This window comes from Homo sapiens, chromosome 8, assembly GCF_000001405.40.
Source record: "Homo sapiens chromosome 8, GRCh38.p14 Primary Assembly".
In the NCBI taxonomy this organism is placed as follows: Eukaryota; Metazoa; Chordata; class Mammalia; order Primates; family Hominidae; genus Homo; species Homo sapiens.
In genome coordinates, this window is record NC_000008.11 from 94,636,827 (window position 1) to 94,651,696 (window position 14,870).

A 14,870-nucleotide genomic window follows, 5' to 3' on the forward strand; every position below is an offset into this window, starting at 1 on the left:
CATTTTTACTTATATCTCTGGAATAAAAATAATTGAATCTCAAAAAAATAAAAAAAGATTATGACATATAGGTACCACTGTGTCAACAGTGAAGCCCCAGCAGACACATTTGTATTCTGTCCAGTTCAAGAGCTGCTCTCTAAAAGTGATGAGAAAAAGGGTCAAAGGAGGGTAATGAAGATAATTAAAGAGCAGGAAAGTAAGATTCACAATGAAAACTTTAAAGAGTTTGCAGTTATTTAGTCTAGGAAAGGTGAGTTAAGAACGACCTTAAAGTATATGAACGGATTACTATACAGAAAATGGTGACCTTTTCTTTCACCCTCTTTCATTCACTAAGGAAAAAACAAAGAAAATGGGTTTATTTTACAGTACAAGTAGTTAGATTAGCAGAAAAAAAAGTCATGACACAGAGCCTTGTCAACCACCAGCAAGGCGGTGGCAGCAAAATGTCCTCTGAGGCTTAAAAAAATTATTTTTAATTTGAAATAATTTTAGACTTACAGAAAAGTTAATAATTCCCTTATACAGATTCCCCAATGTTAACATTTTATTGCGTTTGCTTTATCATTCCCTTTACATATATTTTGTCTGAACCTTTTGAGCATAAGTTACAGACATGATTCCTCTTTACCCCTAAATACTTCAGTAGATACTTCCACCAACAAAGACACTCTCTTGCCCAACCACAGTAATATTACAACAAATGGGAAATTAACATGGATATAAAACTATTATCTAATCTACAGATCTTTTTATTTTTTTATTTTTTACTTTTTCTGGTTCAGGATCATGTCTCTTAAAGTCCTTTAATCTGCAAAAGTTCTTCTTCAGTCTTTGTCTTTGATGGCTTTCATGTATGTAAGAGTACAGGCCAGTTATTTTATAGGCTGTTCCTCAACTTGGGTCTCTGGCGCTTAAAAACAAAACAACAGAATCTCAACGTTTTGAGAATTTTAGGTGTGGTCCTGAGCCAATACTTAAATAAGCCTCTCTCCTCAAGGTTCTTTCCAGCCACCTTACACAGATTATCCTTAGTGAATTAGATTTATAGATGGTGGTGATAGACAGTAAAACATTTTTGTATTCAGAACTGTCTTGAATTACATATATTCCAACCCCTCCACCACATTTTACCATTTTAATTTAACAAAAGTAAGTTTGTTGAAGAATGAGCACATACTCTTTAAACATTTAAGTCTTAAATTACCTGTAGACTCCCATTTTGACAATCTCACCCCTGCAGTGATGACCTATGCCCTAGGCTCAGAAGACAAAGATCTGCAAAAATGGGTGTTACTCATTACAATCATTCAACAAATATTTGTTGAGTGCCTAGTATATGTCAGGCTCTGTTCCAAGCCCTGGGAATACATTTGAGAACAACAACAACAACAACAACAAAATCCTCATCCTTGAAAATCTAGTTGGAAAGATTAACCTTTTTTTTTGAGATGGAGTCTCACTCTGTTGCCCACGCTGGAGTGCAATGGCCAGATCTCGGCTCACTGCAACCCCCCGCCTCCCAGGTTCAAGCGATTCTCCTGCCTCAGCCTCCCGAGCAGCTGGGATTACAGGTGCGCGCCACCCCGCCCGGCTAATTTTTGTGTTTTTAGTAGAGACGGGGTTTCACCATGTTGGTCAGGCTGGTCTCGAACTCCTGACCTCGTGATCCGCCTCGGCCTCCCAAAGTGCTGGGATTACAGGCGTGAGCCACCGCGCCCGGCCCAGAAAGATTAACTTTTAAATTAAAAAAAAAAAAAAAATCAGAAACCGGGATTAGACTTCCCTTAAGTCATTCATGCCGGAGGTTGCAAATTCTTTTTGTGAAAAATCACACCTTAGCGATGACCTTGAGCAGTAGGATGTAAACAACTCCCACAAGCTTAGCGTTCCAATAACGGAACACAAGGCATAAACTAAACAGGAAGAAGGCAAGTCTGTGTGAATATGTTCAACTCCAAGACTCAAGATTCTAATGTGGATACTACTGCGGAATTCCTGTTAAACGCGCTGATTTAATAAAGTCTTCGGTTTATCCAAACGGGCTACACAAATGATTAATCCAAACTCCAAAGACCTAGAAAGAACAGGCGGGGCCGGGTTTCCTCAAGTGTTCCAACCACTTTTTCAGCAAGAGTCACCTGCTTGGCGACGAGCCTCCGGACCGCCCCGCGCTATCTGTTCCACCCGGCGGGGGCCACGCACGGGGTTCCGCGTCCCTGTGAGGCGGCACCTCCTGGGCCCAGCAGAGCTGAGCACCTGGGAACCGCGCACCGAGAGCCCCACGGGGAGGTGGTTAGGGGGAACCGGCTCCTCCAGGCGGCCTCGCCCACTGCAATGCAATCTGGGTGGTTTTTCCAGGTCCCTCCCTGCCTCGTTCCGCGCCCAGTCCCTGCCCCCGCGACGCCCGAGGGCCTGGACGGGTAGCTCGGAGTTACCGGGGCTGGGGAGGAGCGAGGCTACTGCAGTAAGCCAGCCGGAACCCATTTATGACTCCGCACTCTGAAGTTCAGGACAGGGAAGCACCCACCTCTGGAACTCAAGCAGTGGACGAGGGAGGTCCCGAGCGCCGTCGCAGCGCTGCGAGTGTGGGACCCTGGCCTTCGCCCGCTCTCAGGGGACGAGAGCTGCCACCTGTATCACGGGAGGCCCCGCCTCCGCCTGCACCTTCTCCTACCAGGAAACGAGACGGCGCGGGCCTCGGGCTCCTCTCCCCCCTCCCGGGAGCTGAACCCCCACTGGGAAAGCCAGGTCTCCAGCTTCCCTTGACACGCGTCTTGAAAGGTTACCGGATTTGTACCCGGAGTGGGTTCTGCAGGGATAGGTGCATGGTTGCCCGTTTCACATCATGAATATGAACGGGGCTGGACACCTAGAGCCGAATTATTAATACTTCAGACAGAATTCTGTTCCCAAGAACAAATCGCTTTGAGATATAAAACCCGAGAAAACTTCACCTCTGGCGCTTTTCTCTCTAAAATGTCAACAAGACCCAACAACATACTGCCACCGATCTGGTGGCTGGGGGGTGATGGTTGGGGTACGAGCCTCTGGGCAGACCAAGCTGAGGTGGAGCAGGGAGGTTGTTTGGGAGCTTGGTCAAGTCAACACACTCCAATACAATGCCAAAAGCATGAGCAGAGGGAATGGGGTCAGGGCGCAGAACCTGGGAAAAAGCCTGCGTGGCCCGATTTAAGAAAATTTTTATTAGGCATGCGGATAGATGCTTTTCATTTGGGGCCCAAGGCAAATAAAAGGAAATGGGCCCCAGCTCTGGAGGATGTTCCAGCTTCGAACTAGCAGCCAGGACCAAACCAGACATAGCATTCAGAGTTGACAGAAAAAGAAGCGGGCTCCATTGTGCCTGAGTTTCCTTGCGGGGTCCCCCAGCTGCTTTGCGCGCGATAACTGCGTCCTGGGGAGTGACTAGGTGGTTGGGCGTCCAGCCCCTGGCGTCCGGCTCTGCCGCGCGCGGGGTTCCTCTCCGGAAGGTGGGCAGCGCGGCGGGTTTGGGACGAGCGTGCACCCGGGCTCCGGCCCGGAGAAGGGGGGGCTCGCAGGATTTCTCCTGCTGTTTGCACTGAAAGTTGTGTTGGCTCAGGAGCTGCTTTTCCGGGGATCTGCAGTTGCCCCCGCCACCTCCTGGCTGCGGTTGGCAGGTCCCTCCCTCAGCAGTTCGTCCTCCGCCTGCGCCGCGCCCTGGGCAGCTCCGCGCCCCGGGCCTCACCTCTGGCCTCCTTTCGCCTCCCTGCACCTGGCCTTTTCGCTTGACCGTTCAGAACCTTCGGCTTCGTTCCCTGCAGCCGGTATTCTCCGAGCCCCCCTGCACCTCTCAGTTACCTCCAGTGGGAACCCCTCCCCCCAGCGACTCCGAGCCCTTTACCTCTCTGAGCCCTTTCCCCGTCTGGCCTCGTCTACCCTCTGGGTGTCAACCGCCTCTTCCCTGCCCCTCACGTCTCCCCCTCCTCCTCCCCTGCCCTCGCCTCTCCATTCATCCAGCCATTGTCTCCCGCCCCTTCCTCCCCCTCCCGAAGCGGCCTCCTCCCCCACCGCTGCCACGTCGTGGTTTGAAGGAGCCAATGGGCCGGCGCCGCCAGGTGTCTCTTACCTGCACCACGTGGGGGAGGGGGAAGGGGCGGGCAGGTAAAGCCACATCCCAAAACAGAAAAGCTTTCAGCCATTGCGTGCCTCCCGGGGGGGGCAGCCTTGCTCCAGGCTTTTTGCATAGACGCCCGGGCAACTGAATACAAAAAGGGCAGGCCTCCTGCGCCCTCCTTCCCACCCCCCTTCCTGCCCTGGGCGTGGAGCACCGACCAGGTGTGGGCTTGGGTGGTTGGTTACCGCCTTTTGCACTAGCAGTAGCAAGGAAGGGGGGTGGGCGCTCTTTCTTTTTCTCTTAGAAGAGGGTTTAGCACAGGTTTTTTCGTTCTCACTTCCACACCACCTTACCGCCTCCCGACCCCCCCTCTCCCCCTCCCCACCTATCGTCATGACGGCCTCTCCGGATTACTTGGTGGTGCTTTTTGGGATCACTGCTGGGGCCACCGGGGCCAAGCTAGGCTCGGATGAGAAGGAGTTGATCCTGCTGTTCTGGAAAGTCGTGGATCTGGCCAACAAGAAGGTATTTCTCCACATTTTCGTCTAAATGCAAGGAATGGGGCAAGAAGTTTGTGGTAGAGGTTTGGGCGGGGAGGGGGGTGGAGGTAAGTAAATAAGTGCTCTTGTTTGCCCACTTGTGAGTCTGGACCCGAGGCCTAGGGAAGCTAGAGTAAAACCAAACTTATTGGCCAACTGCCTTGGAGCCATTTCAGTCCTCCGCAACTTAGCTCAGGTGGAGAGGCCGGCGCTACCGAGCCGGGTTCTTTGCCCGTCGGGGGACGCTCCGCCGAGACGAGGTGGGGTCTCGGAGGCCCCGGGGTCCACTTCCAGGGCTTTTCCGACCTATCGGGTGGGGGGTGGGGCGGGGGGCAGGAACGCACCGGAACCGATGGCGAGTCGAGAGCTTTGATTCTGCGTCCGGACCCCAAGAGAGGCGCGGGCCGCCCCAGCAGGGGAGCGAGGGAGGAGGGTGCAGAAAGAGGCTCCGAAATTGGGGGAAACTGACCCGTGCTTCTCTACCTTCGGAGGTGGGACAGTTGCACGAAGTGCTAGTTAGACCGGATCAGTTGGAACTGACGGAGGACTGCAAAGAAGAAACTAAAATAGACGTCGAAAGCCTGTCCTCGGCGTCGCAGCTGGACCAAGCCCTCCGACAGGTGACAACCCCGGGTCACGCCACCCACCCCAGCCTGGGCCCAACCCCACCGCACCCTACGCCCTCTCAGGGCGGCCCACGCGTGTTCCCGGAGCAGGGTGGCGAGACGCCTGCCCGGCCGCGTGGGTGGGAGCCCAGCCTGAGGGCCGGGGCGCACCGTTTGGGCGGGGGTCGCTGCTTCTCTTCATCTCCCAGCCCCCAGGGTTTGGGACCGACATTCACTAGTTTTCGAGTTGCTTCCTGAGTAGTTACTGGAGCCGGAGAGTCAGCTCCATTTTGCCAATTGATTGACGTGCGGAGTTTGAATCCTAGCGCCCCCATCTCCAGGTCCAGACCCCAGACGCGCCGCTCCCCTGCGGGGTTTGGGCCCACAGCCTTCGGGCAGGGGGCGCTGTGGCGTAGACGTGCAGGTGGGCCCGGCGGGTGTGCAAGAAGTAGCACTGTGGGTTGGAACCTGAAGGTGCCTGCCTGGTTTCAGGCTTCTGAACTCCCAACGAAAGGCTCGGTCCGTCATTATTTCTTTAGTGGCCTTGGTCCCACTGCCAGGGAGGTTTTTCAGGTCCGAACGTGCAAGGCTGCCCGTTGTGTCACTGCGGAACTGATGGAATCCCCTTATTAGGACTGAGGTGACCTAAAAACCGGCTGTTCCGGGGTGCTGACGGGTGCCGGATCGGGTAGGGCGGGGCGCTAAACACCTGTGCACAGATGAATGCTCTGCGTTCTCACGACCTCTGCCCTAGCACACGAGCTTCGAGTTATAGGAGAAAGCTATCCTTCCTGGGGTGTATTCATCCAAGACTTTCCAGATCTGTATACCCAATACCCGTATTTGTTTATTAGAAGCTGGCATCTTTCTTAAGCCTGGCACATCCAAACATATAAAAAGTAACACTAGGGAATGATGTAATCTGCAGGCAACCTGCTGATGAAATGAGACATCTGACTTAAGTCTTGAATGAATTTTTTTTGTAAAAACAGAAGGGAGAATGCATTGACAAGTTTCTCCTGGGCGCGAACTGCGGATTGATTGGAAAGCTTCCCTACCTCGAGGAAGCTAGACGGTTCGTGGGAAAGGAGTCTGTCCAAGGTTGCCCCAGCACCGGTGTCACCCATCAGGGCCCTTATTGCGGTTTTCTCTGGCTATCACCAAGGGGAGCTACTTTGCAGAGTTTGTAAATCGTGCATCAGTTGCATCCCTATGTGTATCTTGTTCTTGCAGTTTAACCAGTCAGTGAGCAATGAACTGAATATTGGAGTAGGGACTTCCTTCTGTCTCTGTACTGATGGGCAGCTTCATGTCAGGCAAATCCTGCATCCTGAGGCTTCCAAGAAGGTAAGAGTGCTGGCTTCTGGGAAAAAAATGGTTGGAGCTTTGGGGTGACTGGAGGTTTTTAAAAATTTTTGGTTTATTCAAGTTTCTCTGTTCTTAAAAAGATGCATATAGGGAGTTATTTAATGAGTACAGAATTTCAGTTTGGGAAGATGAAAAAGCTCTGGAAATGGATGGTGTTTATGGTTGCAAAATATGTTAATGTACTTAATGTTTTACTGAACCATACTCTTAAAAATTATTAAAATGGTAAATTTGGTGTTATGTATATACAAAGATACTCTTTGGTGACTTAAAATAGTCTCTTTGTTTACGTCCAATTTTCAAGATGCATGACACTTCCCTTTTCCGAAGCTAATACAGAGTGTGAATTTTTGACATTTAAAATAACTACAAAGAGAGGAAAGAACTATTCTTTAGTATGTCATAATATCCTCATTTGTGTTGGAAATGCTATATCCTAGAAAGGAAGGAAAAAAGAATTAAACATTTAAAGTTGTATTTCTAATCATTTCATTAAAAAGGCTACTTAAATAAGATAACCTTATATCTAGTGAAACCACAATCGTAGCACTCTTCACTTTGTCTGATTTTAAGTCAATGTTCAAAACATTCTTGCATCAAAACAAAAGGGTCAGCCTCATCTTTTACCTTTGCTCATTTTTCTGACAGAGAGAGGATTACAGAGTGAGAGAAATACAGTCTTACTATAGGTAAAATGTGATTTCTCTCCCTGGGATAAATACTGAGGGGCTGTGGGAAAAGGAACAGCAGAGACAACCCACCCAGTGTAGCCAATCATTGTTAATACACTGTCTCTTAACAACTTAAATTAGTTTGAGCTGTAACTTTTTATTGTGGTAGGCAGGCACCGAGCTTGAAAAGATGGAAGTAGAATATATTTAGGTACCTGTATAAGGCAAGGCTTGCAATGAAAGATGTAGACTGACAAATGACGACCCAGGCAAGTAAGTGCAGATTTTATTTCGTTTAATATATTATGACAATTCAAAAAGTTTGAAGGAGTAACTCAAGTTGTTATGTCTTCAGAAAATCATTCCTTTTATACGAGTCTTAGTAATTATTTGACAAAAGGGGAAGAATTTTTTTAAAAAATTAAATGCTAGACTAGTCGCTACATCCTTACCAGAAATAGTAATATGTAAGGATTACTTTTTTACTCCCAAACTCACATGACGGAAGGACAAGACTTAATCTTTTCCCTGTTGGGCCAGAGGAAAATAGCTGTTTTCATTATTTAGGTGGAGTGCTTTGGGTGTAGGAAAACATCTGGAGAAAAATTAAGACTTTTTCCTCAGCCACAGCTATTAGAATTTTGATTAAATACAGAAACTAAAACAATTAATGTTATAGTGAAAGTAATTCTGTATATTCGTTAAAGAAAAGGGAAAATGGCAAAACATGAAATAATCCTGCCACTCAATATATTAAAATGTTTTTCTCTAACATGAATGTATTTGGATATATTCTTCTAGATTTCTGTAGACAAGCATTATTTACAAAGAGCATTCATACGGCGTAAGCCTTTTAGCCTACATTATTTAATAGAACATCAACATTGTTATAACCACTAAATAAAATACTCAGTATTTTAAATGGACACAACAATTTAAACTGATTATTGTTGAACATGTGAGTTATTGTCCTTACAAATAGCTTTTAAATGAGCATTTTTGTAGGTAATAGGGAGGTTTCATGGTTCTTTTGGTTGTTAACTTTTTTAAAAGCTGTGACCATGATGCAGCAATACTGATTTCAAAATACAGCATGAACAGGTCACATCTAGTAAAATCCAATAGAAGGAACTTGGAGAGGAGATATTTTGCATGAACATTTAACATTTAAAAGTCTTAATTTCCTTGATGTTCTAATGTAAAAATGGGTAAAAATTCCCAGCAAATTAACACAATTTCAAAATTTTAAGAAAAATCTGAATTGAGTTTTTAAAAGGATTATCTTTAAAAGTTATCCAATGCTGGGTTATTTTGTTAAGAAAAAAAAAAACAAAGGAAACAATAGTGTAATATTTGTCCAGACAGTTGAGCTTTGCTTCGTAGCCACGGTAGTGGTCCTAATAGCTAAGAACAGCAGGTAACCATTTCTCCTTTGCCTTTGGGATTTGTGAGTTTGTTTTTGTTTGTGTTTGAAGTCTAATTTGAGTTCACAGGTACAGCTACAATATTGTTCAAGAAGACTAATGTGGGACTATTATTTGGCACAGAAATAAGCCTTTTCAGTTAATCAGGAATTTACTATTCTAATCTCACTTATTACTGAAAATATGCATTATTAGAACCCAATAGTTAGAACTACCCAGTTTTACAATCTAATCCCACACCTGTGTGAAAACTGAAAGGGCTGCTAGTGCTGCCTGAAAATACAGATGTTCTAAAATGGTTATGGCTGGAAAAAATTAGTATTAACAGCCAGAAAATATGAAGTATAACAGCACAAATGTATCACAGCTTCAGAATTGTTTTGAATGGAATGCATACTGGAGCACAAACATTGTAATCCACTGCCTTAAAACAAGAGGAATTTTTTTCATGAGACTTGTACATAGGATCTAATATAGAAACAGGACCAACTTTTAAAAATAAATCTACTTTTACATTAAATTTTAAATTTTTCCATTGTAAAATATGCTTATATTCAATTTTTAGGTTCCTAATTGTGAGAGAAACATTGAACCAAATTCACCTAGTTAACATTATCTACCTTGTCCTTCCTCAGAATGTACTATTACCTGAATGCTTCTATTCCTTTTTTGATCTTCGAAAAGAATTCAAGAAATGTTGCCCTGGTTCACCTGATATTGACAAACTGGACGTTGCCACAATGACAGAGTGTATCCTTTAAATCATTACTCAAGAATCATTTGAAAAGATAGTTCCAGAAAAGGTAATTCAAGAAACTTTCAAACATTTTAAATTTTGTCAGCATATGGATAAAATTGGCCTATCCAAAATTTGTTTACTCTGCTGAGAAACTAAAATACAATTATAGACATCTTTGAAAGTGGTTATAATTAATCAGATGGTTGGACGGATTTGGAGATGGATTTTTTGGTGGGGTGATCACATGTAGAATAGGATTCAGTTTCAGCTGTGTAATGTGTGTGTGTGCTGCAGAAAGAACATGAAGACTTTAGTGCAGATTCTAAGGCCACTTTTTCTTGGTTACTGTGATTTTAGGGTTTATTTTGGCTTCTTTGGAATGAAGTCAATAATTTTTTTAATTGGTGGATATATCCCCTTTACAAACTGCTGTTCACTGGTCCCGCTTTTAGCCTCCCCTGAGTTTTTCAAATACAAGATTATGCTGATTATAATAAGCCATCTTTGGAGATGATAAAATGGGGTCTGGATTGTCCCCCACATTCTTTAGTTACCAAAATAATATATTTGATGCATGATATATTGTAAAAGTAATTTTATAATTACAAATCTATAATCATGAATGACCCGTCATCTTACATTCATTAAGTCTTTCAAATGCTAACTAATAAGCAGGCGTGTGCTAATATATCAGATGTAAAGTTGAGTAATTGTTACCTTGAGTGGCTTCCCAAAAGCCACTGTGAGAGTCATCATGAAGTTAAAACTAAGTTAACTTCAGTAGCTTGTGGGTTGTAGATGCTTATTCCCAAACTTTCTCATTCATTTTCAGGAATTAAAACCTGGTTTTTGTGTTACTTCACGATTTTTTTTCCTGATTGAAGTTTGCTCGCATATATTTCATAACTACTTGTAAACAGGTCAAATCCGTTTTCATTTGCCTTCTTCTTGGAGTCAGTTAGCTGGAATTTTGGCTTAGCATGACCAGTAGTGTTGGGAAGAGGGTGGAATAAGCTCATTGTGACAGAATTCTTACAAGAATTTTGTTAAAAAGGTTAGTACACCAGAAAAATTCTCACTGGTTTTTCTGTTGGGTTGAATGTTGTATTAGACAGCTCAAGCTTCCATAACAAATACCATAGACCACGGAGCTTAAACAAAAGAAATTTACTTTCTCACAGTTCTGGAGGCTGGGATGTCCAAGATCAGGGTGTCAGCATGGTCAGGTTCTGGTGATGGCTCTTCCTGGCTTGCAGGTAGCCAGCCACCTTTTCTGGGGGGATAGCAGGAGGAGTTATCTTCTTACAAGGTCACTGCCCTATCTAATTAGACCCCTCCACCCTTTGACCATCATTTAAACTTAACTTCTAAAGACCCTCTCTCCAGATAGTTACATTGGGGGTTGGGCTTCAACATAGGACTTTGGGGGAGGTGGAGGACACAATTCAGTTCTTAAGTATATATTAAACTTTTTAATGTGGATAGTTGGTCTTCCACAAAATAGAGAACCAGAGTACCTACTGAAAAATTAGAAGGCAGTGGAGGAAAAATCTAATAAGCTATCTTAATTTAGAAAAAGACAACTTCTGGCTGGACATGGTGGCTTATGTCTGTAATACCAGCACTTTGGGAGGCTGAGGAGGGAGGATGGGTTGAGACCAGGAGTGCTGACACCAGCCTGGGCATTATTGCGAGAACCCATCTCTACAAAAAGTAAAATGAAATAAAAATATTTTAACAAACGAAAAAGATAACTTCAGTAGGAAAGGAAGTATATTAAGGATTGTTGTGCCAGGGCAATATAGAGAAACCCCATGTCAACAAAAAATAAAAAAATTAGCTGGACGTGGTTGCATGAGACTGTAGTCCTAGCTACTTAGGAGGCTGAGGTGCAAGGATTGCTTGAGCCCAGGAAGTCGAGGCTGCAGTGAGCTATGATTGTGCCACTACACTCCAGCCTGGGTAACAGAGCAAGACCCTGTCTCAAAAAAAGTGGATTTTATTCTTAAATGTTTTAATATTTAATATCGTACTTGTACATGTCTTTCTCATTTAACAAGTTAGAAATGCTAATAAGCTTTCTTAGCAACGGTTTTTATGTTATATTGCTGCTGTGGTGAGTTATTTTATGACTACTATTCAGAGGAATACTTATTTCCCTGTCTAGGCTACCAGACCAATTTCTGAGGCTAAAAGCAATTATGTCCAATCTGAATATCAACTTGTGCTCATCTATGCAAAGTATTTCTACAATGTCTGAATTGAATTGTTCCGTTCTTTCAGAGCATTAAACATTTTCCTTGCCAATATGGAAGTGACGCTGAATTGGGAGATCTGTAGTCATTAAACATTCTTGATGGTTTTGCCAAGTGGACAGAAGGTCATTTGCTCTTGAGGAATTACCTGTTTCACCTGGTAAACCAGTGGGGGAGGGAAAGGGGCTTCTGTAAACACCTGGAGAAGAGCAGATAAGAGAATGTGCAGGTTGAAGTGTTTAATTTTTTTTGTCGTGAAATACTTGTATCCTTGATTGGTTGTTTTAAACGAGGATACAGAAATATCAATTTGGACCCTCAGTGATGTCACAATATTCTAAGTGTTTTGGAAACATGCTTTATTAACTTTACATCCAAGTAAATTTAAAATTTTTAACAAAAATCCATTTTTGGCTGGGCACGGTGGCTCATGCCTGTAATCCCAGCACTTTGGGAGGCCGAGGCAGGTGGATCACTTGAGTTCAAGAGTTCAAGATCAGCCTTGCCAACATGGCGAAACCCCGTCTCTGCTAAAAATAGAAAAATTAGCCGGGCATGATGACGCACATCTGTAATCCCAGCTACTCAGTAGGCTGAGGCAGAAGAATCACTTGAACCCAAGAGGCAGTGAGCCGAGATCATACCATTATACTCCAGCCCAGGTGACAGAGTGAGATTTAAAAAAAAATTATTTTTCAAATTTTGGAGATGGGTCCTCATATTTTGCCCTGGCTTCTCTCAAACTCCTGGCCTCAAGCCATCCTCCTGTCTTGGCCTCCCAAAATGCAGGGATTATAGGTGTTTGCCACCATATCCTGGCCTCATTTATTTTTTAATTAGTAGGCTTTATTTTTTTGAGATGTAGTCGTGCTATGTTACCCAGCCTGGTCTCAGACTCCTGAACTCAAGCAATTCTGCCTCAGCCTCTTGAGAAGTTTGGATTACAGGTGCATCTGCTATACCTGTAATCTCAACTTTTTATTATTATTATTATTTCTTTCTTTGAGACAGAGCCTCCCTCTGTTACCCAGGCTGGAGTGAAATGGCGTGATCTCGGCTCACTGCAACCTTCGCCTCCTGGGTTCAAGCGATTCTCCTGCCTCAGCCGCCCAGGTAGCTGGTATTACAGGCGCCCGCCACTATGCCTGGCTAATTTTTGTATTATTAGTAGAGATGGGGTTTCACCATGTTGGCCAGGCTGGTCTCCAACTCTTGAGCTCAAGTTATCCACCCATCTCGGCCTCCCAAAGTGCTGGGATTACAGGCGTGAGCCACTGCACCCGACCCCAACTTTATTTTTTAGACCAGTTTTAGGTTTAGAGCAAAATTGGGCAGAAAGTATAGTGTTCCTATATAACCCTTGTTACACACATACATACACACTCTCACTCACTCCCCCACTGTCTACATGCTGCACCATTGAGCAGAAAGTATATTGTTCCTATAGAACCCTTGTTATTCTCTCCCTCTTCCTCTCCCTGCTCCTTCCCTTCCTCTCCTTCTCTCCCCGTGCCCCCTCACTGTGAAAGTGCTGTACCAGAGTGGTACATTTGTTACACCTGATGAGCCTACATTGACATGTCAATATTACCCAAAGTTCATAGTTTACATTGGGGTTTACTTTTGGTCTTGTACATTCTATGGATTTTGACAAACGTATAATGACATCTATCTACCATTGTGGTATCAAAATACATTGTAGCAATAGCATAGTATAGAATTTTTTTGTTTGTTTTGTTTTTTTTTACCTGCTACCTTAAAGTCTTTTATCCCTAATAGAATAGTTTTATTGCCTTAAGAATCCTCTGTACTTTGGCCAATCATTCCTCCCTCTCCCTTAACCCCTGACAACCACCAATCTTTACTGTCTCTGTAGTCTTGGCTTTTCCAGGAGGTCATATAGTTGGAATCATGTAGTATGTAATCTTTTCAGATTGTCTTTTTAGCCGGTAATATGCATTTAAGATTACTCCATGTCTTTTTGTGGCTTTATAGTTCCTTTTTAGCACTGAATTCCATTGTTTGGATGTATGGTTTGTTTATCCATACACGGTTTGTTTATCCAAACATGGTTTGTTTATTCGCCTACTGAAGGACATCTTGGTTGCTCTCAAGTTCTTGCAAATATGAATAGTGCTGTTATAAACATCACGTGCAGGTTTTCATATGGACATAGGTTTTTTAAATCATTTTTATTTTTTTTTGAGACGGAGTCTTGCTGTATTGCCCAGGCTGGAGTGCAGGGGCGCGATCTTGGCTAACTGCAAGCACCGCCTCCAGGTTCACACCATTCTCCTGCCTCAGCCTCCCGAGTAGCTGGGACTACAGGCGCCCGCCCATGGCTAATTTTTTGTATTTTTAGTAGAGACGGAGTTTCACCATGTTAGCCAGGATGGTCTCGATCTCCTGACCTCGTGATCCGCCCGCCTTGGCCTCTTAAAGTGCTGAGATTATAGGCGTGAGCCACCACTCCTAGCCTAGGTTTTTTATTTATTTTGGTAAGTACCAAGGAGTGTGACTGCTGGATCATATGGGAAGAGTGTCATTTTTTATATCTCACTGCAATTTTTGTGTTTAAGGCAGACTTTTTTCCAGGGGGAATGGTGAGGGAAAGCAATGAGGCCTTGCATTTAAAAAAACAGTATGTGGAACTTGAATAATATGCAGTATTTCAAGGCATTTATGGAAGATGAAAGAAAATTATAGTGTGGTCTTTTTTTTTTTTTTTTTTTTTTGGGCAAAGTCTCACTTTTGCTCAGGCTGGAGTGCATTGGTGCTGTAATGCTATCGTGGCTCACTGTGGCCTCAAACTCCTGCACCCTAGGCAAGTAGTTGGGACTGCAGGCCTGCACCACTGTGCCAGGCCAATGTTGTGTATTTCTAATGGAAGAGGACACTAAAACCCAAGTTGTAGAGTCACAAAGTCTGAGCTGAGTATACCCTGCTACACAGCAGCTTTGCTTTCCTGGGAGTTACTTGTGTCTACCGAGCCAAACTTTAATCTTGAGTATTCCAAAATGAAAGCTTTGTAAGTGAAGTGCTATGTAAATGAAAAAGTAGGACCATTTTGATGACAAAAGGGTTTAGGAATTTTTTTTTCTTTTTTTTGAGATGGAGTCTTACTCTGTTGCCCAGGCTGGAGTGCAATGATGCAATCTTGGCTCACTGCA

The 14,870-nt window shown here is 44.2% G+C and overlaps 1 protein-coding gene and 1 long non-coding RNA gene across 8 annotated transcripts in view, besides 1 other annotated feature; one reads left to right on the forward strand and one right to left on the reverse strand.

Moving 5' to 3' along the window:
- Positions 1-458: 458 nt before the first annotated feature.
- Positions 459-2,641, reverse strand: LINC02894 (long intergenic non-protein coding RNA 2894). The gene has a single exon (NR_034034.1). It is a non-coding gene; the product is annotated as a long intergenic non-protein coding RNA 2894 (long non-coding RNA).
- A 1,706-nt stretch (positions 2,642-4,347) lies between these two features.
- ESRP1 (epithelial splicing regulatory protein 1) overlaps positions 4,348-14,870 on the forward strand; it is a 66,293-nt gene continuing 55,770 nt past the window's right edge. For all 7 annotated transcript variants that reach the window (NM_017697.4, XM_005250991.4, NM_001122825.2 and 4 more), the window contains exons 1-4: positions 4,348-4,624; positions 5,130-5,258; positions 6,477-6,590; positions 9,342-9,456. In NM_017697.4, coding sequence (NP_060167.2) covers positions 4,493-4,624; positions 5,130-5,258; positions 6,477-6,590; positions 9,342-9,456 — 490 coding nt within the window. In that variant the 5' untranslated portion in view covers positions 4,348-4,492. The remainder of the gene's footprint in view (positions 4,625-5,129; positions 5,259-6,476; positions 6,591-9,341; positions 9,457-14,870) is intronic.
- Positions 5,686-5,775: an enhancer, noted in NCBI's record as "active region_27633". NCBI's record gives its function as "activates an Ori minimal core promoter by ATAC-STARR-seq in GM12878 lymphoblastoid cells {active_cell/tissue: GM12878}" and the evidence as "EXISTENCE:reporter gene assay evidence [ECO:0000049][PMID:35858748]".